The 24,539-nt window shown below is 49.5% G+C and overlaps 1 protein-coding gene across 10 annotated transcripts in view, besides 2 other annotated features; it reads left to right on the plus strand.

Annotated features, from left to right (window-relative positions):
* PTK7 (protein tyrosine kinase 7 (inactive)) overlaps nt 1-24,539 on the plus strand; it is an 85,402-nt gene that overhangs the window by 27,943 nt on the left and 32,920 nt on the right. The window lies entirely within an intron of this gene.
* Nucleotides 14,927-15,846: an enhancer, noted in NCBI's record as "H3K27ac-H3K4me1 hESC enhancer chr6:43086921-43087840 (GRCh37/hg19 assembly coordinates)". NCBI's record gives its function as "activates a minimal SCP1, AML or CMV promoter by ChIP-STARR-seq in naive H9 embryonic stem cells {active_cell/tissue: H9 hESC(naive)}" and the evidence as "EXISTENCE:reporter gene assay evidence [ECO:0000049][PMID:30033119]".
* Nucleotides 15,847-16,766: an enhancer, noted in NCBI's record as "H3K27ac-H3K4me1 hESC enhancer chr6:43087841-43088760 (GRCh37/hg19 assembly coordinates)". NCBI's record gives its function as "activates a minimal SCP1, AML or CMV promoter by ChIP-STARR-seq in primed H9 embryonic stem cells {active_cell/tissue: H9 hESC(primed)}" and the evidence as "EXISTENCE:reporter gene assay evidence [ECO:0000049][PMID:30033119]".

Raw genomic sequence — 24,539 nt, forward strand, 5'->3', positions numbered from 1 at the left:
TAAAATATCTCATATTCTCTGTTCCCCAAGTACCAATTTAAATTGAAATCTTGGTTGAGGGTGGGGGAGAAATTTAGCTAACCAGTTAAAAATGAAAAATTGCTTTATTTTCTTAAGAAGAAACAATGCTAATTAAAACAAAGTATTTTTTTAAAATTATTTATTTATTTATGAGATGGATTCTTGCTCTGTCGCCCAGGCTGGAGTACAATGGTGTGAGCTAGGCCCATTGTAACCTCTGCCCCCTGGGAGGGAGTAATTCTCCTGCCTCAGCCTCCTGAGAAGCTGGGATTACAGGCACATGCCACCACGCCTAGCTAATTTTTGTATTTTTAGTAGAGAAAATACAAAATACAACATGGTGAAAACCATGTTGGCCCAGGCTGGTCTTGAACTCCTGACCTGAAGTGATCCGCTCACCTCAGCCTCCCAGAGTGCTGGGATTACAGGTGTCAGCCTCCATGCCCAGCCACAAAGTATTATTTTATGTCTCTCAGGTTGACAAAGATATTAAGCATCAGTGTTGGTTAAGAAAGCGTAAATTAGCACAACTTTTTTTTTTTTTTTTTTTTTTGAGACGGAGTCTCACTCTGTCGCCCAGGCTGGAGTGCAGTGGCGTGATCTCCGCTCACTCCAATCTCCGCCTCCTGGGTTCATGCCATTCTCCTGTCTCAGCCTCTTGAGTAGCTGGGATTACAGGTGCCCGCCACCATGCTCAGCTAATTTTTGTATTTTTAGTAGAGACGGTGTTTCACCGTGTTAGCCAGGATGGTCTCGATCGCCTGACCTTGTGATCCACCCGCCACAGCCTCCCAAAGTGCTGGGATTATAGGCATGAGCCACCAAGCCCAGCCTTTTTTTTTTTTTTAAAAAAACTTCTCTGGAGATAATGCTGGATGTCATTTATCAAAAGCTTGAAATTATATTCTCTTTGTTTCCATTCTCTTTGGAAGTCATCCTACAGAAACCCTCTCATTATCAGTGTGCATAGATGCCTGTACAGAGAATAAGAATATTCTTCATAATGACAAAAAGAAAAAAAAAAAAGGAAAACCATCTGAATGCCCATTATTAGGGTATTGGATAAATAGGTTATGGGTAATTGATACAGTGAAATAATACACAGTGGTTGAAGTGAATGAGGTCGAATTATATGAACAGACATGGAAAGACATCTGTGGTTAACTGTATAGCAAAAAAAAAAAAAAAAAAAAGCAACTTGCAGAATAGCAGATATTAGAGGGTGAATTGTGTCCTCCCAAAATACATGTTGAAGTCCTAAGCCTCAGTACCTGTGAATATGACTTTATTTGGAATTAGGGTCTCTGTAGATATAATCAAGGTAAGATCAATTCATTAAGGTGAATGACGAATCCTGTATGACTGGTGGCGCCCCATGTGAAGAGAAAAGGCCCAGAGACAGAAGTACACCACAGGAAGACGGCTTGTGATAGCGAAGGCTGAGGTTGGAGTGATGTGGCTACAAGCCAAGGAGCACCAGGGATTGCTGACAGCCACCAGGAGCAAGGACAGAGGCGTGGAACAGACTCTCCCTCTGTGCCCTCCAGAAGGATCCAACCTCACCAACACTTTGATTTTGCACTCTGGCCTCCAGAGCTGCGAGAGGATAAATTTCTGTTATTTTAAGCCACCCAGTTGTGGTAATTTGTTATGGCAGCCCTGGGAAACTGATAGAGCAGGTATGGCATTATCCCGTAGCCGTGCCTTCTGTGACTGCGCCTGCCATTCTCTCCATGACAAAGAGCTTCTTCAGTCCATTTCCTACCCTAGCAACCACCTCCTTGGAAACAGGGACTCATTGTGGTTGTGATTTTTTTTTGTTGTTGGGGGACAGCCTGAGCAGGGTGGGTTTGCATTTCACCTCCTTTGCCTCCTTGCCCCAAAGTGGAGTTCTAATGGCCTCTTGGTGGGCTTCCTTCTCCTCATCCTTTTAACCCTGAGCATTCTGAATTACTCAGAGTTCTCTGATCATGCCTGGTCTTTGTGCTTCTGACTTGTTCTATTTGCCAAGTCCCGTTCCTTTTTTTGTTTTTGTTTGTTTGTTTTTTGAGACAGGGTCTTGCTCGATTACCTAGGCTGGAGTGCCCTGGCACAATCACAGCTCACCGCAGCCTTGACCTCCTGGACTCAAGGGATCCTCCTGTTGCAGCCTCCCAGGTGGCTGGGACTACAGGCTTGCACCACCATGCCTAGATAATGGGGTCTTACTGTGTTGCCCAGGCTGGTCTCGAACTCCTGGCCTCAAGTGATCTCTCCACCTCGACCTCCCAGAATGCTCAAAGTGCTGAGATTATAGCAGGCATGAGCCACCACACCCGCCCCTTTCCTTCGTAAAACCTTATGTTGAAGATCCTTCCAAGATTCCTCCCTGCCTTTTTTTTTTTTTTTTTTTTTGAGACAGAGTCTTGCTCTGTCACCCAGGCTGGAGTGCAGTGGTGTGATCTCGACTCATGGCAACCTCGGCCTCCCAAGTAACTGGGATTACAGGCGTGACACCCGGCTAATTTTTTGTATTTTTAGTACAGACGGGGTTTTACCATGTTGGCCAGGCTTGTCTTGAACTCCTGACCTAAAGTGCTCTCCTCACCTTGGCCTCCCAAAGTGCTGGGATTACAGGTGTGAGCCACCATGCCCAGCCTCTTCCCTGAATTTTTTTTTTTTTTGAGACAGAGTCTTGCTCTGTCACCCAGGCTGGAGTGCAGTGGCGCCATCTCGGCTCACTGCAAGCTCCACCTCCCAGGTTAAAGCGATTCTCCTGCCTCAGCCTCCTGAGTAGCTGGGACTATAGGTGTGCACCACCATGCCTGGCTAATTTTTGTATTTTTAGTAGAGGCGGATTTTCACCTTGTGGGCCAGACTGGTCTCGAACTCCTGACCTCAAGGTGATCTGCCATCCTCGACCTCCCAAAGTGCTGGGATTACAGGTGTGAGCCACCTCGCCTGGACTCCCTGACTTTTTAATCCCCTGACTCTGACTTAGATGCTTCTCTTGTGTGCCCTTTGCACCCACCCATCATCCTGTGTGATAATACAGCAAAGCCTACACGTTATGATAGACTTTCCTCAGGCCAGAAGACCTGAGATTTGAAGCCGGCATCTGTTACTCATCAGCTGTGTGATGTTTAGCAAACTGCTTTACCTTTCTTTGTCTCGTTTCCTTATCTGCATAATGGGGATCATAGTACCTACCCTACCAGATGGGCATTAGCATTATAACAAGTTAATATGGTTAAATGTTTGGAACAGTAAGTGGTCAGTAAGTGGTAGCTGTTACTTTAATTATATGTTTACTTGCCTGACTCTCCTACTAAACTGAGACACTTAAAGACAGTAATTGTGTGTTTCTCTCTCTGTCCCCAGTGTCTTATGAAGTACTTGGCACATGGTAGGCTCTAAGTAAATGATTGTTGAATTAAGAATGATAATTAATATAATTGCCTACCAGGATCCCATATTGGGCTTTGACCCCTGCTGGTTCCACATCATGTTGGGATAATGCGACCAAATTATCTGGCTCAGTAAAACCACCACAAATCGGCCGATATTTCCTGAGCACCTCTCACGGGCGAGGCATCTGCCATGGAGGAGACCAAGTGCGAGATCTGCATCTGTCCTCAGGAAGCTTAGAATCTAGTGGCGAAGACAGAGTTGTAAGCACATGAAATGTTAAATAGCGGTATTAGGGTTTTAACAGTTATTTACGGGAGTAATAGAAGATAAAGAGAATGTGTGTTCACGATTATTATTTCAGTTGGTGGCACATTGTTATCTAACTTCTGTCTTGTTTTCCAAATTTGTTCCAGAAAGCTGCTTTAACTTTTTTTTTTTTTTTTTTTGAGACAGTCTCGCCCTTGTTGCCCAGGCTGGAGTGCAATGGTGCAATCTTGGCTCACTGCAACCTCCGCCTCCCAGGTTCAAGCGATTCTCCTGCCTCAGCCTCCTGAGTAGCTGGGACTACAGGCGCCTGCCACCATGCCTGGCTAATTTTTGTATTTTTAGTAGAGACGGGGTTTCCCCATGCTGTCCAGGCTGGTCACAAACTTCTGACCTCAGGTGATCCTCCTGCCTTGGCTTCCCAAAGTGCTGGGATTATGGGCATGAGCCACCGCGCCCGGCCAACCTTTTTTTTTTTTTCCTTTAAAGACAGGGTCTCAGTTTGTTGCCCAGGCTGGAGTGCAGTGGCACGAGCACAGCTCACTGCAGCCTCCACCTCCTGGGTTCAAATGATCCTCCCATCTCAGCCTCCCAAGTAGCTGGGACTACAGGCGCATACCACCATGCCTGGCTAATTTCTGTAATATTTTTGTAGAGACGGGGTTTTACCGTGTTGCCCAGGCTGGTCTCGAACTCCTGGCCTCAAGCGATCCACCCGCCTCGGCCTCCCAAAGTGCTGGGATTCCAGGCATGAGCCACTGTGCCCAGACTTGTTAAACTTTTCAATAATGAGTTAGATGTAGAGGCTTCATCAAGTTCAGATTTGATTTTGTTTTTTCTTTATGTGTACCTCAGTAGGTACAATATCTGGTTGTCTGTTTGGAATGAGAAGCCATCACTAATCATTGCTAGATCCATTATTTCATTAGGGGGTTGTAAAATCATGGTATTCTGTTTATTAGCTGGAAACTTCTATAAACACCAATCTCCCCTCATTAACTGTTTGGTTACCCACAGATATAGCTGTTCAAGAAAGGGAAAAATAAATGCTTGATTCTTTACTGATTTTCAAAATAATGAGTTGGTTTTCTAACATTCTTCAAAGGTGGCCAGTGAGAGACTTTCAGTGTTTTGTGTTAAGCATCACTGTACACTTACGGATTTTAAACCTATTTGATGTGTTTTAGTCCATGTGGTTCTTACCCTTACGAATGCTTAAGTGGTCCTATCATTGGCTGATGGGAGCCTCTTCAAGCTGAGCCTGAACCTTTTTATTTATCTTATTTTTTTAAAGAGATAGGGTCTTGCTATGTTGTCCAAGCTGAACTTGAACTCCGGGGCTCAAGCAATCCTCCCACCTGAGCCACTCAAGTAGCTGGGACTACAGGAGCATGGCATCATACCCAGCAGGCCTTGAATCTTTTTTTTCCCCTGGACCTTTTGATGAGACCCTGCTAGTCTTTGCTTGTTTCCTTGTATGATAAGATGGAGTTCTAGGCTTCTCTTGTACATTTCCTATCCTGGAACTGGAATCAGCCAATTCTGCAAGGAGAAAGGACATAAATTTTTTAGAACATTAGTACAATATTACCAAACATTTTCCAGAAGGGATTTATTATAATTTATATTCCCTCCAGCAAAGTAGAAGGACTATTTTCTCCATATGCTTACCAGCGTTGAGTGTTATTTTTAAAATCTTGGCCTTCATTTGATGGGTAGAACTCGTTCTAATTTACATTTCTTAGATTACTAGTGCATTGGAGTATTTTCTTTTTTTTTTTTTTTGAGACAGAGTCTTGCTCTGTCACCCAGGCAGGAGTGCAGTGGCGTGATCTCAGCTCACTGCAAACTCTGCCTCCCGGGTTCACACCATTCTCCTGGCTTAGCCTCCCGAGTAGCTGGGACTACAGGTGCCCACGACCACGCCCGGCTAATTTTTTGTATTATTAGTAGAGACGGGGTTTCACCGTGTTAGTCAGGATGATCTCGATTTCCTGACCTCGTGATCCACCTGCCTCGGCCTCCCAAAGTGCTGAGATTACAGGCGTGAGCCACCATGCCCGGCCTTTTTTTTTTTTTTTTTGAGACAGAGTCTCGCTGTATCGCCCAGGCTAGAGTGCAGTGGCGTGATTTTGGCTCACAGCAACCTCCGTCTCCTAGGTTCCAGTGATTCTCCTGCCTCAGTCTCCTGAGTAGCTGGGATTACAGGCGCGCAACACCATGCCCAGCTAATTTTTTGTATGTTTAGAATACAAAATACATGCTGGCCAGGCTGGTCTCGAACTCTTGACCTCGTGATCTGCCTGCCTCAGCTTTCCAAAGTGCTGGGATTACAGGTGTAAGCCACCATGCCTGGCCTGGAGTATTTTCCTATATTTATTAATCATTTATGTTTGTTTTGAGAACTCTTCATATTGTCTTGACCATGTTTCTATTAGAATTTTAGCAGGTTTTTTTTTTGTTGTTGTTGTTGCTGTTTTGTTTTTGTTTTTGTTTTTGAGATGGAATTTTGCTCTTAGTGCCCAGGCTGGAGTACAGTGGCGCAATCTTGGCTCACTGCAACCTCCGCCTCTGGGTTCAAGCGATTCTCTTGCCTCAGCCTCCCAAGTAGCTGGGATTACAGGCATGTGCCACCTTGCCTGGCTAATTTTTTTGTATTTTTATTAGAGACAGGGTTTCACCATGTTAGGCTGGTTTTGAGCTCCTGTCCTCAGGTGATCCACCCGCCTCGGCCTCCCAAAGTGCTGGGATTACAGGTTTGACCCACTGTGCCTGGCCGAATTTTAACAGTTTTTATGAATGATTTGTTACTTTTCATATATCAAGGCCAGCAACCCCTCTTCTGTCATTTACTTAAAGTCATTTGTCTGACTTGTCATTGCTGCTGACGGTCATTTCTACCTTGTATCTTACGTAGTCAGGCATTCTCCTTTAGATAGCATAGACTTTCCAGGCCTCTGTTGGCGGGGCCTCCTAGGATCGGAAAGCTGAAGTCTAATAGTGATCTCTAGGCATTCATTGGTGCATGAACATTACTGTGTTCTCTTCACCTAATAACTGTTTGTGTTCCTTGAGGCCAGAGGCCTGCTTCATACCAAGATGACTGGGTCCATTTTCACCCAGATAGGCTCACTCTGATTTTGGTTCATGCTGAAGGTACTTCTGTTTTGAACAGCTTCTGGGGGAAGTAAATGAAACTATAAGCAACTGCTAATCTGCACCCCTATTAGGAATGCAAGCAGAGCATTGTCTGGAGGTGCCCAAGGTAGACAGAATGCAAAGCTGCCAGCAATCAGTAGCTACCCCTCTGAACTTCACCAGCACAGGGTGGCACCTCTTGAACTGTGGAGTCCCACGTACCTGTATTTAGTGATCAGGTGGAGCATCAGGCAGCTGAGGGACAGAGCTTCAGACCTCAGGGTGTCTGTTCAGAGAGAACCACTACAGCAGAGATTGGATGAGGGAAATCAAGCAGGCACTTAGCATCTCCAAATGGTCTGTGTAGAGGAATGCTGACAAAGGCCAGTGCTGGCTTAGGGATGGTTGTGATGGAGTGCAGGTTCTAAAAAATGAAAAAATCCTGAATATAATGATGACAATAAATAATGGCTAAGAGTCCAAACTCACATAATACTTCCTATGTGCCAGGCACTGTTTCACACTGCTACCTCTGTTACCATGTGAATTTTCTTTTTGCAACAAGCCTATGAGGCCAGTACTGTTACTTGCATCTTTTATTTTATTTATTTTGAGACAGGTCTCACTCTGTCACACAGGCTGGGATGCAGTGGCACGATCATTGCTCACTGCAGCCTCAACCTGATCTCCTGGTCTCAAGTGATCCTCCCACCTCAGTCTCCTGAGTAGCTGGGACCACAGGTGCATACCACCATGCCCAGCTAATTCTTTTTTTTTTTTTTTTTAATATTTAGTAGAGATGAGGTCTTACTGTGTTGCCCAGGCTGGTCTTGAACCCCTGAGCTCAAGCAGTCCTCCCACCTTGGCCTCCCAAAGTGCTGGGATTACAGGCGTGAGCCACTGCACCTGGCCTATTAGCACCATTTTATAGATACAAAAATGAAGGCATGGAAAGGATAAACAGCTTGTCCAAGGTCATACTCTTGGTAAGTGAGGGAGTGTATTTGAATACAGGTAGTCTGACTCCAGTCTCTGAACTTTTAACCTCATCTCCACCCTGCATCTACACTGTATGCCAGCACCTTACAGTTACATGTTTTGTAAACTTTCCAGAGGCATTTCATCCTTGTAGAGGCTCTGCAGGATAGAGAGCAGGTGTTGCTGCTAGCCAGTTTTATTTATTTATTTATTTATTTATTTATTTATTTATTTATTTAGAGACGTAGTCTCCCTCTGTCACCCAGGCTGGGGTGCAGTGGCGTGATCTTGGCTCACTGCAACCTCCGCCTCCCAGGTTCAAGTGATTCTCTTGCCTCAGCATCCCAAGTAGCTGGGACTACTTGGGAGTGTCTCTCTGTCTGTGTCTCTGCGTGTTGATTTCTTACCTCCTCCATCTGTCTGCCAGGGCCCGGGTCTCACATTGTCTATCTGTCTCTCTCTCTCTGTCTTTCAGTCTCCCCTTCTCTGCCTCTCTCAATTTCTTCTGTTCCCTTACCACCACACCTGGCTAATTTTTGTATTTTTAGTAGAGATGGGGTTTCACCATGTTGGCCAGGCTGGTCTCAAACTCCTGACCTCAGGTGATCTGCCCACCTCAGCCTCCCAAAGTGCTGGGATTACAGGTGTGAGCCACTGCACCCGGCCCCATTTTAGATTTGGGAAAACCAAGGCCTAGACAACAAGATGACTTGCTCAGAGCCAAGTCTAGGATGTAGGTCTTTCTGCCTTTGGTGGCTGGCATCAAAGTCAAATTCTTTGAGCCTTTTTTTCTTTTTAAGAGATGGGGTCATGGTCTGTCACCCAGGCTGCAGTGCAGTGGCACAATCATAGCTCACTGTAATCTTGAATTCCTGGGCCTATGTGATCCTCTCGCCTCAGCCTCCCAGGTAACTGGGACTATAGGCACGTGCCACTGCACACAGCTAATTTTTTTCTTCTTTTAGAGTCAGGGTTTTGCTGTGCTGCTTAGGCTGGTCTTGAATTCCTGAGCTCCTCCCATCTCAGCCTCCCAAAGTGCTCTTCTTTGATACTCTTCAGAACAGTATTGCCCTTAGACAGATACAAACAAGGTATTTTCCTATGCCAGGTGTGGTGGCTCACACCTGTAATCCCAGCACTTGGGGAGGTCGAGGCGAGTGGATCGTTTGAGGCCAGGAGTTTGAGTTCGAGCCTAGCCAAGATGGTGAAACCCCGTCTCTACTAAAAATACAAAAATTAGCCAGGTATGGTGGCACGTAGCTGTAGTCCTAGCTACTAGGGAGCCTGAGGCAGGAGAATCACTTGAGCCCAGGAGGCAGAGGTTGCAGTGAGCCAAGATCGCACCACTGCACTCCAGCCTGGGTGACAGAGCGGTACTCCATCTCAAAAAAAAAAAGTGTTTTCCTTTTCCCTTTTCTTTCTGGGGTCTGGTGAACACAAGGGTTTTACCTAAGACTTTTCTGGGCACGGTTGTTTCCTTCTGGCCCTAGGCTCTTGGGAGCTGGGGGTATGTGCCTGCCTTTGGGATCTCACAGTCAGAGCCCGGGCCTGGCCCTTTCTGGAAGCCAAGTGCTTTGCCCTTGCTTAAGGAGCAGCAACTTAAGCTCCAAAAGTAGCAGGAGTGCTGGGTCAGGGGTTCTGGAAAAGCTGGATGGAAATTGCTCTGCTGTTGTCTCACTCCTGGCCTAATGGCTCAGACCATTTTAGATGTCAGGAAGTTTAACAGTACGGCGCATTTATCTTGATGAATAATGGATGAGCCCAGGGAAGGTACTGTATTCTTCCTGGTGAATTATTTACCAGGAGCCTCTAATTTGAGGGCTCTCCATTATAAATGGTCTGAATCTGGTGTATATATAGAGCCTCCGCCCCTCTCTTTAACTCCCTCTGGCCTTCCACCAACAGACAAGCTGTAACCTTCAGAATCTAGTGTTACCCTGAGCAGCCCCGGGGCCTGTGGCCGGGGACTCAGTCTGGAGTCCCTGCGGCCCCAGGGCTGCTGGGGCGGGTGGTGGGAGGGGGTGGGCAGGGTCCCCCTGCTAGAAACACAGGACAGACCTGCCAGGGGCAGCTGGGTTAAATGGGCTGGGACCTGCCCTGCAGGCATGGGGAGCTCCATGTGTGCATGCATGTGCGTGTGTCACGTGTGCGTGCTGTTTCTTGTCCCTTTGTCTCTGTCTCTCTATGATTCTATGTTACTTGATCTCTGTCTCTCAGTTTCTCTCTGTCTGTGTCTCTGCATGTTGATCTCTCACCACCTCCATCTGTCTGCCAGGGCCTGGGTCTCACATTGTCTGTCTGTCTGTCTCTCTCTCTCTCTCTCTGTCAGTCTCCCCTTCTCTGTCTCTCTCAATTTCTTCTGTTCCCTTATCTTATCTCCCTGTCTCCCTCTGTTTCTCCCTCTGTCTCTCTCCTGTCTGTCTCTGTCTGTGTGTGACTTTGGAGGTCCGTAAGAGGTACCCCCTGGAATGGGGGCACAGCCAGTTCCAGACTTGAGTGAAGCCAGATCTCGGTGCCTTCCAGACCCTGACTGAAAGATCAAGGGAGTAGGCATGAAATAAACTTGAGGTTTTTTGTCATTTTTTTGGCTATTCAGTTCAGCGATTGCATCAGCCACCCCTAGGAGCCCTTTTCTCAGCCGTCCGCGTGTGCTTTATGCTTTATGTTTCCCTCTGAAGTGGGCTGTCCTTAGGCTTTTGGCATCTGGTGATGAGTTGCAAGATTTTGGTGCTTTTAAAAATAACTTCTTTGGGAGGTCTAGGCAGGCGGATTGCCTGAGGTCAGGAGTTCGAGACCAGCCTGGCCAACATGGTGAAACCCTGTCTCTACTAAAAATACAAAAAAATTAGCGGGGCATGGTGGCACGTGCCTGTAATCCCAGCTACTTAGGAGGCTGAAGCAGGAGAGTCACTTGAACCTGGGAGGCGGAGGTTGCAGTGAGCCGAGATCTTGCCATTGCACTCCAGCCTGGGCAACAAGAGCTAGACTTTGTCTCAAAAAAAAAAAAACTTTACAAAAAAATAACTTTACAAGGAGTTGTTTCTGTCCTTTATTCATCAGTTTGTTTTTTTCATCTATTGTTATTGATTAGAAGATTAAAATACTTATTTTGCTATCTTTAGCCAGAATGCTTTTTCTAAACAGCTGATTTTTTTTAAAGTATGACTCTTTTTTGGTTATTTTCCTTAAAAATAAAGGAACAATCATTAGTAATGTAGTTAAGAGATTAAATAAAATTAATGCATTAAAATATACATTAATATTTAAAATATAAACTTATTAGGAAGTTTATATTTTAAGCAGTAAAATGGAGTTTGTAAGGAGACTAGGAAGTATCTGGGAAGATCTGATGGTTTGACTGTAGCCGAGCAGGTGGCCTGTCCTCATCCCCCTGTGCCCCCAGGGCTCACCTAATAACACTGGGCTGGCTCCAGTACCTGTGAGTAATATTTGAGCAACAACCATGGCTGCAGTTGATGGCTCCTGCAAGATCTGTTCCCCTTGTCTCCGGTGCATTGTTACTCAGCATTTTCCCAGCCGCAGAGATGGCTGCGAGGAGAGCTTTGGATGGCAGGAGGAGATCTGCCTTCAGAAAGGGGCAGTGGGGGCTGGGCGGGGTGGCTCACACCTATAATCCCAGCACTTTGGGAGGCCGAGATGGGCAGATTGCTTGAGGTCAGAAGTTCAAGACCAGCCATGACCAACATGGAAAAACCCTGTTTGTACTAAAAATACAAAAATTAGCCTGGCACTGTGGCGGGTGTCAGCTACTCGGGAGGCTGAGATGGGAGAATTGCTTGAGCCCAGGAGGCGGAGGTTGCAGTGAGCCAAGATCGCGCCACTGCACTCCAAACTGGGTGACAGAACAAGACTCCATCTCAAAAAAAAAAAAAAAAAAAAGGCAGTGGGCCCTGTGCAAAATCCTGCTCCCATGCCCCTCTCCCATGGGCCTGGGTCCAGGAGTGTACCCTTGCCCCTCCAAGCTCGTAGCTCTTCTAAGCACCCTCCAGCCCCCTCCCTCAGTCTGGAGCCTTCTCTTTGTTTGTATCCCAGGTTGGGCCTAAAGTCTAGTCTTATAGGCCTGAGTGGAGCAACCCCCTTGTAAGACCCCTCCCCAGAAAGAAGGGTTGGTTTCCAGAAACAGCTGCTGCCTAGATAGGTGGAGACACTGTGTTCCCCAAAGGAAGGGTCGCAAGAGGGGCCTTTGAGAAAGGGTCTGTGGCTTTGCTCCCGGCCAGCTGGCCAGCCGTGAGAAGGGATGGCCAGGCTGTCCAGGGGCATGTTCGCCTCCTGCACATGTGCTAACATTGCGTCGTGTCCCCGCAGCCTGCTGCCACAGGCCCTGGGCGGCTCGTGCTTTCCACATCACAACATAGCAAAGTGATTTCCTCACATTCCCCACTCTTGTCTGCTCCGGGAAGTGGTTTGCAGAACGCTTCTAAATATAAAAGTATGAGACTGATTCTTTCTCTTATCCCTTTGAAACCAGCCGAGGTCCAGCCTCTAGTGAATTTTTGGGCTTGAGTGGAGGAGGAAGAAGGCCAGGAAAAGCTGGTTTGTGTGTGTGTGTGTGTGTGTGTGTGTGTGTGTGTGTGTGTGTGTGTGCGCGCGCACGCACGCACGCATATGGATACATGTACATGTGACCAGGTTCTGAGGATACCCAGAGGAGTGGTGGAAACAGACGAGGGTGAGTAGGTGATAGAGGCTAGGGCTGGGTGCTGGGGCATGCAGAGGAGAGGCTGTAGACTTCAACTATGTTTTTATTTTTATGTATTTGTTTATTTATTTTTTGAGACTCAGTTTCGCTGTATCGCCCAGGCTGGAGTGCAGTGGTGCGACCTCGACTCACTGCAACCTCCATCTCCTGGGTTCAAGCGATTCTCGTGCTTCAGCCTCCCGAGTAGCTGGGATTATAGGTGCCCGACAGTACACCTGGCTAATTTTTGTATTTTTAATAGGGACGGGGTTTCACCATGTTGCCCAGGCTGGTCTCAAGCTCCTGAACTGAGGTGATCTGCCCACTTCGGCCTCCCAAAGTGCTGGGATTACAATCAGGCGTGAGCCACCATGCCCACCGTAGACTTCAACTATGGACAGCTCTGTTCCGCCACCTGTTTAAAAGAGCATTCATTTGCTTCTCCCCCAGAAAAGCCCAATACATTAATCTACTGGGGAGAAGAGCAGGATGTAGGAGAAGGCCACAGAGAAGGATCCTCAAAACATAGTGCTGAGTATGAACAACGAGTAGGAAGCAGGTGAGAGATCTTGCAGGACCGTTCACATGAGTAAGAAATACCTGCCCGTGGAACACCAATTGCATTTTACAAGAGCACATGCAAACAAAAGGACTCATGTGAAACACAATAGATTGGTTGTGGAGGGAATGTGGGTAACAGGGAATTAATGAGTGAAATGAGAAGCAGCCAGTGTGGCATCACAGAAAGAAGGCAGACTTGGGAGCCAGACAGATCCAGGGGCAGCTCCTGAGCCTGCCATTTACTGGGGCATCCTTGACTCCGATTTCCTTGTCTATAAAATGAGGCTGATGGTGTTGAGAGTTCTCTGGATCAGAAATGTGTCCTCTAGGTCGGGCGCGGTGGTTCACGCCAGTCCCAGTCTGTCCGCCAGGCAGGAGGCAGAGCACTTTGGGAGGCCAAGGTGGGCAGATCACCTGAGATCAGGAGTTCGAGACCAGCCAACATGGTGAAACCCTGTCTCTACTAAAAATACAAAAAATTAGCCAGGCATGGTGACGGGTGCCTGTAATCCTAGCTACTCAGGAGGCTGAGGCAGGAGAGATGCTTGAACCTGGGAGGTGGAGGTTGCAGTGAGCCGAGATCATGCCATTGCACTCCAGCCTGGGCAAAAGAGCAAAACTCTGTCCAAAAAAAAAAACGAAAGAAAAGAAAAGAAATGTGTCCTCTATCAGGCAGAATCCTATGGATTAAAAAAAGAAGAAGAAGAAAAAGGCAGTGTGTCTGTGCACAGGATCTAGCAAGAAGTGGGCAGTCAGAGGAACTAGGGCAGCCAGAAGCAGGTGGTCAGATGGGCCTTTTTTTTTTTTTTTTTTTTGAGGGTGGAACTGTTTCTCTCTGTGATTCAATACAGTGGTCACCAGCCACCTATGGCCCCTGAGCACTGGAAGTGTGGCTAGTGTGACCGAGGAAATGAATTTTCAATTTTACTTCATTTAAATTAAATTTAGGCCGGGCGCGTTGGCTCATGCCTGTAATCCCAGTACTTTGGGAGGCCGAGGTGGGTGGATCACCTGAGGTCAGGAGTTCGAGACCAGTCTGGCCAACATGGTGAAACCCCGTCTCTACTAAAAATACAAAAATTAGCTGGGCGTGGTGGCGGGCACCTGTAATCCCAGCTACTTGGGGGCTGAGGCGGCAGAATTGCTTGAACTCAGGAGGCGGGGGTTGCAGTGAGCTGAGATTGCACCACTGCACTCCAGCCTGGATGACAGAGTGAGACTCTGTCTTGAAATAAATAAATAAATAAATTTAAATAGCCTCATGTCGCTAGGGCTGTCATATTGGACAGAGCAGGTTTAAGGAATATTTTAACCTCTCTCTCTCTCTCTCTCTCTCTCTCTCTCTCTCTCTCTATATATATATATATATATATATATATATGTATATATGTATATATGTCTGTATATATACGTATATACATATATGTATATATGTGTGTGTATGTGTGTGTGTGTGTGTGTGTGTGTATAATTTTTTTTTTTTTGAGACAGGGTCTTGCTCTGTCACCCAGGCTGCAGTGACGTGATCTTGGCTCACTGCAACCTCCACCTCCCGGGTTCAAGCCATCCTCTCACTTCAGCCTCCCAAGTAGCTGGGACGACAGGTGGGCGCCACCACATTTGGCTTATTTTTTGTAGAGATGGGGTTTCATTATGTTGCCCAGGCTGGTCTCAAACTCCTGGGCTCAAGTGATCCTTCTACCTCGGCTTCCCAAAGTGTTGAGATTACAGGTATAAGCCACCACAACCAGGCTATTTTAACTTCTTAGAAGCCAGAGAAGATTTTCCTTATTGTATGGGATTGAGGCCACCTATCCCCAAGGGTAGGGTGGGTGAGGCAGGGTTGGGTGCAGGCAGGGTGTAAAGGGCGTCCTCCTCACCACCAGGAATTTGGGGTGAACTGCTGTGGCCACTCTGACCAGGTCTGCAGGCTGTGCTTCTCAGCCTGGATTATTAGTCTCCTAGGCGGGAGACAGAGATGGGTGAAAAAGGCTCGTAAATTGGAATTTATCAGAGTTTTCTGAGCCTGTTTAGAAAATTAATCATTAAACTAAGGCTACAACCAGTCCAAGGTAGTGGTCCTGGCCTGTCTAGTTCACCCCCTGCTTCTGCGGGAAGGACCATGGGAAGCTGGCTCCCAGGCTCCACCCTGGCACTGTTCTCCATGGTGGACTCTGAAGGATCCTGCACATTGGAACCCCTGGGAGTCAGAGACCTGGAAGCACTTTGGGTCCGAACCCCTCCAGTGAATGGCTGTTGAGCCCACAGCAAATCTCTTCCCATCTTCCCTGGGTGATCAGGGGCTGGACTTCTTGTCCTCTTGGATCACTGGGAGCACTGGCTGAGCACCACAGAGGTCTTCCTGAGGCTGAGCTCGTGGCATATTTCCCAGTCTCCTGTTCCAGCAGCCCTGTTGCCTTCCCTGGGATGTATATTATTTCTGCAGGCTCCTCACTGGCGTCTTCAGGAGACAGCTGGCTGCTGTCTGTCCCTCTCCTCTTGGGGCCAAGAATGGATTTGGGGCCAGATCCGTTCCCAGACATGGAGAGTGCTGAGAACTTGTGGTTCCCCTTGGCAATTCTGTTCCAGGTCCTCCTTCCTGCATTCACCTTTGGAAGGGGTCTGCTTAGTCCGAGAGCTTTTGAGTCCTGGGTTCCACGGTTCCTTAGAATTTCTGGGGTTTTTAACTTTCCTGAAAAATAGGCAGACTTTTGTGTGTCTATACTTAATGTGAATTTCATTTAAATATCATAGGGAGGGACTGTAGGCTGATAAAGCGTTACTAAAATTGGTTTCAAGGCTACCATCTTCCAAGTGAGAAAACTGAGACTCAGAGAGGAAAATTAAGTTGGCCAAGATGGATAAATGTAGATGTAGGACAATATTTCAGGTCAAATGGACACTTGAGTGACTTCATTCCCCCACGCGTGCTCTCAGGGTATTTACTGCGTGTCCCAGGCACCAGGGGGGCACAGATGTCTCACACTGGGCACAAATGTCTGCCCTTCCCTCCAGCTTACTAGCTTGGGGGATAAAGCTCTCAGTCACAGCAGAGGCAAGAGTGATGGGGTATCCCAGGCAATGAGATTTCAGTGCAAGTGTGTGGCCAAGGCAGGAGATGGCAGAGGCAGGTCTCCCGGGGAGGCTGCACGGGGCTGCGCCGAGGAACAGAGCAGCTCATCAGAATGATGCTGGATCCCTGTTTGCAGCCCCCAGCTGCCTCAGACCCCACACACCTGCTGTTTGTTAGGTCACTCTTAATCCCTCCCAGGCCTGGTGCTGCATTTACTAAGTGGGCTCTGAGGATTGGCTGTGCGGATGGTGAGTGGGGGAGATTCTGGGGAATGGGCCCCCGTTTCTGTAACTACCTCTGTGATTCATTGCAGCCAGTCCAATGTTAGGTCTTGGTGACTGTTCAGTTGCATGCTGTCATTTCTGTAATTTTACAGATAGGACTGCCTGGGAGGAGGTGGCGATTGACCAGGGTCACCCTCATTAGTGACTGTATCAAACCAGAACCCAGGTTTCCCTAACTTATGTTCCTTCCATCTCATCACACCACCTCACTCCAGCTGCATTTTTCATTCATTGCTACTTCCTAAGAGACTCCACAGCCAATAAAGGGTCACTAAGGGCAAGAGGCATGTACTGGGTATAGCCCTTCCAGCCCCAGAAGAAGATGGGCGGGGTCCAGGTTCTGATGGTGACCCCTGGCTGGGGAGCACCTTACGTCATGTGCCATGTTTCTGTTTTTTTTTTTTTTTTTTTTGACTATGTTGCTCAGGCGGAACTCCTGGCCTCAAGGGATCCTCTTGCCTCATCCTCCCAAGTTGCTGGGATTACAGGCGCTGTGCCTGACTCAGCTGGCTGGCATTCTTGTCTCTCCATGCTTGGATACCATGTGATGCCGGACCCAAGGCCTTACTCCTGCCATTAGAGGTTAATCTGCCCCCTCCAGGGCCTCCTGGGAGTGGGACAGGCAAGTCTGAGTTTCGGTTTTCACCGGAGATGTAAGAGCTGGCCTGCTAAATTGTTTCTGCCCCAGTCCTTGGTGATCCTGTTCTGTTTCTCTAATCTGGATGTGGGAACCTCTCCAGATACTGATATTAAGTCCCAGGATAGGAAAACTCAGCAGGGTCCCTGGCTCTGCTCCCTCTTGCTCTGCTTAGGGCAAGGTCTGGGATGGATTTTGGAGGGCTCCTGTTGGTGAACCTGGGACCTTTTGTAGACCCTGGGAAGACAGAAGGGGAGCAGAATTTTGTGCTCTGCAGCTCACTGGGTCTTGGAGTCAGCTTGTCCATCTTCAGTGACTTCTGAACCCTTATGCTCTGGGCTCACCATCAGACAGTCTGGGTTGCTTGCACTGAAACCACATACAGTGTACTGGTGGTAGTCGGGGGAGACATTCTAAATCCTCAGAGTCACAAATAGCCCTGCAGCATTTTGTGTTTCTGCCAACCTGGGTAAAAGGGAGATGACTGGACTTACTGTTCACTCAAATGAGTTATTCCTGTAGTGATTGAGACTGTTCTTCAAAACGTTACAAATGTGGCCAGGCATGGTGGCTCATGCCTGTAATCCTAGCACTTTGGGAGGCTGAGGCAGGAGGATCACTTCAGCCCAGAAGTTCAGTACCAGCCTGGGCAACCTAGGGGGACCCCAATTCTACAAAAACAATTTGAAAATTAGCTGGGCATGCAGGCACGTGCCTGTGGCCCCAGCTACTCAGGAGGCTGAGGTGGGAGAATTGCTTGGGCCTCGGAGGTTGAGGCTGCAGTGAGCCGTGCTTGCATCACTGCACTTCAGTGTGGGGCGACAGAATGAGACCCTATTTCAAAAAGAAAAAAAATGTCTCTGGGCCACACACATTTGGGGTGGCTCAAGAGCAGTCCAGAGTTATCAGTCAGATCTTTAAGGTATGAGGTCTGCAGTACAGTGCACTGGGCCCTGGGGGAGGATTAGGTAGGCTATTCAGGGGTTGGGGAGGCACCCTGGGCCCTCTGGCTTGGCCTTCAGAGTTTCCAAGTGGTGGGGACTTGAGAGGAAGTTTGTCCTCTGTGGGTCAGGGAGCCCCGGGGCTGCTCCTCCCCTGGAACATTTATGCTTCTCAGGTTGAGGGCTGCTTCTCCTGGCCTGTGGCCTGGCGCTGTCTCCCTACACTGGGAAGCTGGCAAACCTCTCCCTTGGGGGTCTATGTATGCCCTACAGGAGCCACCCACCTTGACCTGGACTCTAGGGGCCATCTGGCATTCGGGATATTCCCTACAGGGACCCAGGCCGTGGAGCCGGGGACTGAATCTTTTTTTTTTTTTTTTTTTGAGATGGATCTTGCTCTGTCACCCAGGCTGGAGTGCAGTGGCATGATCTCGGCTCACTGCAACCTCTGTCTCCCTGGTTCAAGCGATTCTCCTGTCTCGGCCGCCCAAGTAGCTGGGATTATAGGCACGCGCCACCATGCCCAGCTAATTTTTGTATTTTTAGTAGATATGGGGTTTCATCATGTTGGCCAGGCTGGTCTCGAACTCCTGACCTTGAGTGGTCTACCTGCCTTGGACTCCCAAAGTGTTGGGATTACAGGCATGAGCCACCGCACCCGGCCAAAGGACTGAGTCTTTAGTGTGGTGCTGGTGTGGAAGTGTCAGACACATATGTGTGGCTGATTGACTTGGGGTGTGGGAGATCCTGCAATTATTCACACAGTCATGCTCCACCATGCAAAATCCCCATGCCTCTGTGGAGCACACTCCTGGAGGACTTCTGGGCCGGTAGCATCAAGCTCCCCACTCAGCCAGGGTCTTTCTATCTCAGCCTGGTCCTGAGACATCTGACGGATGGCGTTTTCTTTTACCATGTTGGCCAAGCTGGTCTCAAACTCCTGATCTTGTGATCCGCCCGCCTTGGCCTCCCAAAGTGCTGGGATTACAGGCGTGAGTCACTGCGCCTGGCCGGATGGAATTTTCTTTAATGAGAGAGAGAAGTTGATTGATAGAATCAAACAGTGATGTGTGGCAGATTCTGAGGCCTATATAGGTCCTGGGGGTGTTTTTCCTAAACCAGGAGTTCTAGCTCCTGAGAGATGGGTAGTTGAGTGGCCCAGATGGATCCTTGGATTGAAGCAGCCAAAATTACTTAGAGTGGGAGTGCCTAGGAAAAACTTCCTGCTGCTCCCTGCTCTCTGTAACAATTGTGTTTACACATATGTGTGTGTATACACGCACACATATGCACACATGGGCTGGCTGGGCCTGAGCCCAGAGAGCAACACGGAGGGTGGGCACCAGACCAGATGCTGGCGGGGGTGGGGGTGGAGGGCAGGCACGGGAGACGCAGGCAGAGTGAGTGTCTGCATATAGATGGCTGTTAGGGAGCCAAGGAAATGGCTTGGAAAATGTCCTTATTGGGTGTTTGCAGCTCCGGCTTTGTTGGGGTCGGCGCCTGGTGTGGGCAGATGGCCCTGTCTGCCTGTTGTTGCTGAGGGCTTCTTGCCTGCTGAGCCCGGTACGGCAGGCTCATACCGGGGAAGCAGCACCCTCTGCGTTTTGTGCCGTGTGTGGGCTTTGTGAATGTGAACCCGTTAGCCCTTACTCAGGTGGGGTGGTGGCCGCTGTCCCCATTTCACGGCAAAGAAGGGTGCAGAGGCCACACTAAGGTAGCGTCACTAGGGAGCAGCGGAGGCAGGGCTGTTTGGCAGCAGCAAAGCTGCACATGGAGCTGGCTGCCTCCGGGGTCACGTGGCCTGCATCTCCATGGGGGCTTGTGTGCAGTGGAGGGGGTTGCATGGCATGGCCCGGTGGCAAAAGAGGAGGCAGCCTCGGGAAGCCCAGGACCTTTCCCAGACCACAGTCCTGGGGGCATACTCAAGTCAGGGGGCGGGGACAGGAATGTGCTGGTGACTACATCACCTTGAGGCAGGTACCACCTCAATCCCGAACCGCCTGCCTTCTTCTCTGTCATTGCTGTCCTCCATTTCTTGTTATCAGCAAAGCTTCTGACAAAGCAAAAGTAGAGTCCCTTACTTCCCAGCTCCTTTCTTGGAGTCTGACCTTTCTGCCAGGTCTCCTTTGTCTGCTTCCCCAAAACAAAACAGCGGACCAAAGCCAGGCACAGTGGCTCATGCCTATAATCCCAGCAGTTTGGAAGCCGAGGTGGGAGGATCGCTTGAGCTAAGGATTTCAAGACCAGCCTGGGCAACATGGCAAAACCCTGTCTCTATAAAAAACTAGCTGGGCATGGTGGCACATGCTTGAGGTCCCAGCTACCTAGGAGGCCGAGGTGGGAGGATCACTTGAGCCCTGGAGGTCAAGGCTGCAGTGAGCCGTGATGGCACCACTGTACTCCAGCCTGGGCAACAGAGTGAGACCCTATCTCAAAAATAGCCCAACAACAAACAACAGGCCAACGTCCCCCGCTGCAAGCTGGGCAGATGGCCAGGCTGGGCACACCACAGACTGTCTTCTGAGCAAACATGGGTGCCGCAGCACTGGGCCAACCTGAATAAAGAGCCTCATGGTTGAGGTGCGTATAGCAGGGGCTGGGGGCTTGGAGCAGACCTGGGAGCTGCATTCTCTGCCTTTTGAAACATCTGCTGGGCGGGGTGGCTCACGCCTGTAATCCCAGCACTTTGGGAGGCCGAGGCGGGTGGATCACCTGAGGTTGGGAGTTCGAGACCAGCCTGACCAACATGGAGAAACTCAGTCTCTACTAAAAATACAAAATTAGCTGGGCGTGGTAGCTCATGCCAGTAATTCCAGCTAGTTGGGAGGCTGAGACAGGAGAATCGCTTGATCCCGGGAAGCGGAGGTTGCCGTGAGCTGAGATTGTGCCATTGCATTCCAGCCTGGGCAACAAGAACGAAAACTCTGTCTCAAAAAACAAAAAAAAGAAAAAAGAAACATCTAAAGTCTGTCCCAGCCAAGCACTAACCAGGACCTTCTGTGAGCTGACGTCAGGACAGAGGCCCCCTCGGGGCCAGCTTTGATGTTTCCCAGGCCCAGTCGTTGGGGCACAGGGGGCTCTGAGTGGCAGTCTGGGAATGCAGCATCTCTCACCACAGCTATGGAGCAGTCCAGTCCCAGCCCCAGGAGTGGGTGCTGGAGGCTGAGCTGGGGGTGGCCGAGGCTGAGCTGGGGTCTCTCTGAGTCACGCTGTCTCTTCTCCCAGCTTGGGTTTCTGTGGCAGGTGGTCTGTGGTTCCTGCAAGCTCAGGGCCCCTTCCCCTCTATCCCACCCACCACCTGCTTATTGCCTTCAGACTTCTCTGCTGTGGCAGCTCCTTCCCTGGCCAGGGTCTGGGAGTGGTCCTGGCACTTGGCAAGTGGAGAGCCTTCTAATCTTCTTAGAAGTTGAGTCCTTGAGCAGGAGGGGTGATCATGAGAATATTAACAGTAGCTGCCATTTACTGAAGATGAACCATTTGCAAGGCACTTCATGTATGTTTCCAGGTTTACAACTCATGACAGCCTTGTGAGAGAGGCAGAGGAAGCTGAGACACAGTCTGTGTTACTTACCCAAGGTCAGACACACTGAGTGTAACAGGTCAGGATCTGAGCCCAGCCTGTCTCATTCCAGCCCCTTAGCTGCTCCTCTGTGTGGGTGAGACTCCTGGCTCCCCACCATGTCTGCAGAAGCTGAGCGAGGAAGTGGGGGCTTGTCCACACTTCGAAGGCAGGTGATCTCTCTTTGGTCTTTGACAAGCCTCCTGGAGTTGTGGGTCAAAGATCCTAGGATTTTGGGCAGGGCGCCATGGCTCACATCTGTAATCCCAGCACTTTAGGAGGCCGAGGTGGGTGGATCACTTGAGGTCAGGAGCTCGAGACTAGCCTGGCCAACATGGTGAAACCCTGTCTCCACAAAAAATACAAAAATTAGCCAGGTGTGGTGGTGCGTAGCTGTAATCCCAGCTACTCGGGAGGCTAAGGCATGAGAATCGCTTAAATCCGAGAGGTGGAGGTTGCAGTGAGCCAAGATTGCACCACTGCACTCCAGCGTGGGTGGCAGAGTAAGTAAGACTCCGTCTCAAAAAAAAAGAAAGGTCCTAGGATTTTGGTGAGTCACATTTGCAGAGGCCCACTGGGGACTCAGTCTGATTCTGCCCATCTGTGTCATGAGAGGTGCTCCAGAAGTACCCCGTGAACCAGTTCTTGCCCCACGCTTCCTCAGAGGTCACTTTGGTTCAGGCAGTGCTTGCTGGGTGCCTTTGTGTGCCTGACATTGTCTGCAAGAGGTGTGTCCACACACTACCTGGCAGTCGGGAATGTGACTCCTCATTGTAGGATCAGATGCTTCCAGGGTTGTTTCTGAGTCCCTGGGCGGGGATGGGAAGAGCACAGAGTTGGTTTCTTTGGGTCATAGTCCTGGCTCTGCCACATATGAGCTATTTGATCGTGGGCAGATTCCTTCTTGTGCCTGGACCTGGGTTTACCCATCTGTACCACGGTGCTGAGCAGGAACAGAGCCCTATTCCTGTGGATCATTTGGAAATGTGTAGGGATGTGTTTGAATTGTCACAATGCCGGGAGGGCAGATTTGTTAACTTGCACAGCAGGTGGAATAGCTCACCCAGAGAACCATCAGTGCCACGCTGAGAAGTAATGGGCTGCTTGGAGCTGCTTCCAGCTCCATGACTGGGTTTTGTGTCAGGAGATGTGGGCTGGCACCTATGAGCATGTTGGGAGACGGACCAACACCAGGGGCAGCCCCTCATCTGGACCCAGCCTGGGGGATCCTGGAATTGTCTTGACACTGACTTTATGAGGAGACTGATTCTCATGCCATAAAGAACAGAACCCCACCTCCAGGGACTTGGAAGGGGCTCTGTAGGCCAAGATTAGTTTCCAGTGGTTTGGGAAGGGATGGAAAAGACTCCGTTAGTACCTTTCTGCCCTTGCCCAGCCAGTTTGGCTCAAGGCAGAGCCTGCTGCTTCGTGTAGCAGTTCCAGGTGGCCCATTTCTTCTTCCGGGGGCGGGGGGATCAGGGAGTCCTCTTCTGTGTTCAAGGCCCAGTGGCTCCAGGCCTCTGCAAGTCGCCCACGCGGGCTAGGAACAAAGTCCAGTGTGTTGCTCCTGCCGCCGCCGTAACCATGCCACCCACCTGCCCGGCTCTGCCCTCCGCCTCCCTAAACCCATCTGCCATACAGTGTAGGCTTCTTCCTCTTTCCTTTGTTCCCACTGACTGCAGTTCCACCTTTGGTTGCGGGGACCCTGTGGCCAGAGCTGAACTATAATGGTGCAGGAAGGGGAATGACTTCAAGTGGAACTCTGGAACCACATGGCTCTCCTCTTAACACAGAGAAGCTGACCTTGGCCACAGATGGATTTTCAGGGATAAAGAACAGGACATGGGGCCGGGTGCGGTGGCTCACGCCTGTAATCCCAGCACTTTGGGAGGCCGAGGCGGGCGGATCACGAGGTCAGGAGATCGAGACCATCCTGGCTAACACCGTCAAACCCCATCTCTACTAAAAATACAAAAAATTAGCCAGGCGTGGTGGCGGGCACCTGTAGTCCCAGCTACTCGGGAGGCTGAGGCAGGAGAATGGCGTGAACCCAGGAGGCAGAGCTTGCAGTGAGCCAAGATCGCGCTACTGCACTCCAGCCTGGGTGACAGATCGAGACTCCGTCTCAAAAAAAAAAAAGAACAGGACATGGGAATGACCTTGGCTTGTTTTTGGCAGTAGCCCAGGTTTCTAGAGAATCTTGGCTTCTCCAGTGATGGGTTGGGTTTTTTCAAAGAAGCGTCTGGGAAACGTTGGGCTGCAGAGCATTTGCGGATGAGATTCAAAGCGTCCCATCTGTGGCCACCTCTGATGCTGGCACCGTCGAGGGGCATGAGTGAAGCCATCTTTCCAGGGTGCTGTTTGGGTCATGATTTAACTTTACTAAACCTCCTGAGTCTGTATTGGGGGAAGGTGGCCTGCAGTGTCCCCGGCTCCTCAGCCTGGCATCAAAACCTCCTGTGATCTCACCCTGCAGGCCCAGACTCTCTTTTGCTAGGAAGCCTCCCTGTGCAGCCAGCCCTTAGGGGTCCCTTCTTCCTTCGTGCTCAAGTCACTACTGCCTGCCCACCCCATTCATTTGGCATTTATGTGACTGTAACTGTGTTCTGTGTGCCCCTCTAGTCTTCAGACCTCTTGAGGAGAGGCTACTGTGTCTTTGTATCCTACAGAGCACTCAGCACAGTTGAAAAGCTCTTCAGGGGGCTGGGCGTGGTGGCTCACGCCTGTAATCCTAGCACTTTGGGAGGCCGAGGTGGGCAGATCACCTGAGGTCAGGGGTTCGAGACCAGCCTGGCCAACATGGCGAAACCCTGTCTCTACTAAAAATACAAAAATTAGCTGGGTGTGGTGGCTCATGCCTATAATCCCAGCTACTCGAGAGGCTGAGGCAGAAGAATCACTTGAACCCAGGAGGTGGAGGTTGCAGTGAGCTGAGATCACACCACCACATTCCAACCTGGGTGACAAGAGCAAAAAAAGAAAAAGAAATCTCAA

The sequence above is a fragment of the Homo sapiens genome, chromosome 6, assembly GCF_000001405.40.
Source record: "Homo sapiens chromosome 6, GRCh38.p14 Primary Assembly".
NCBI lineage: Eukaryota > Metazoa > Chordata > Mammalia > Primates > Hominidae > Homo > Homo sapiens.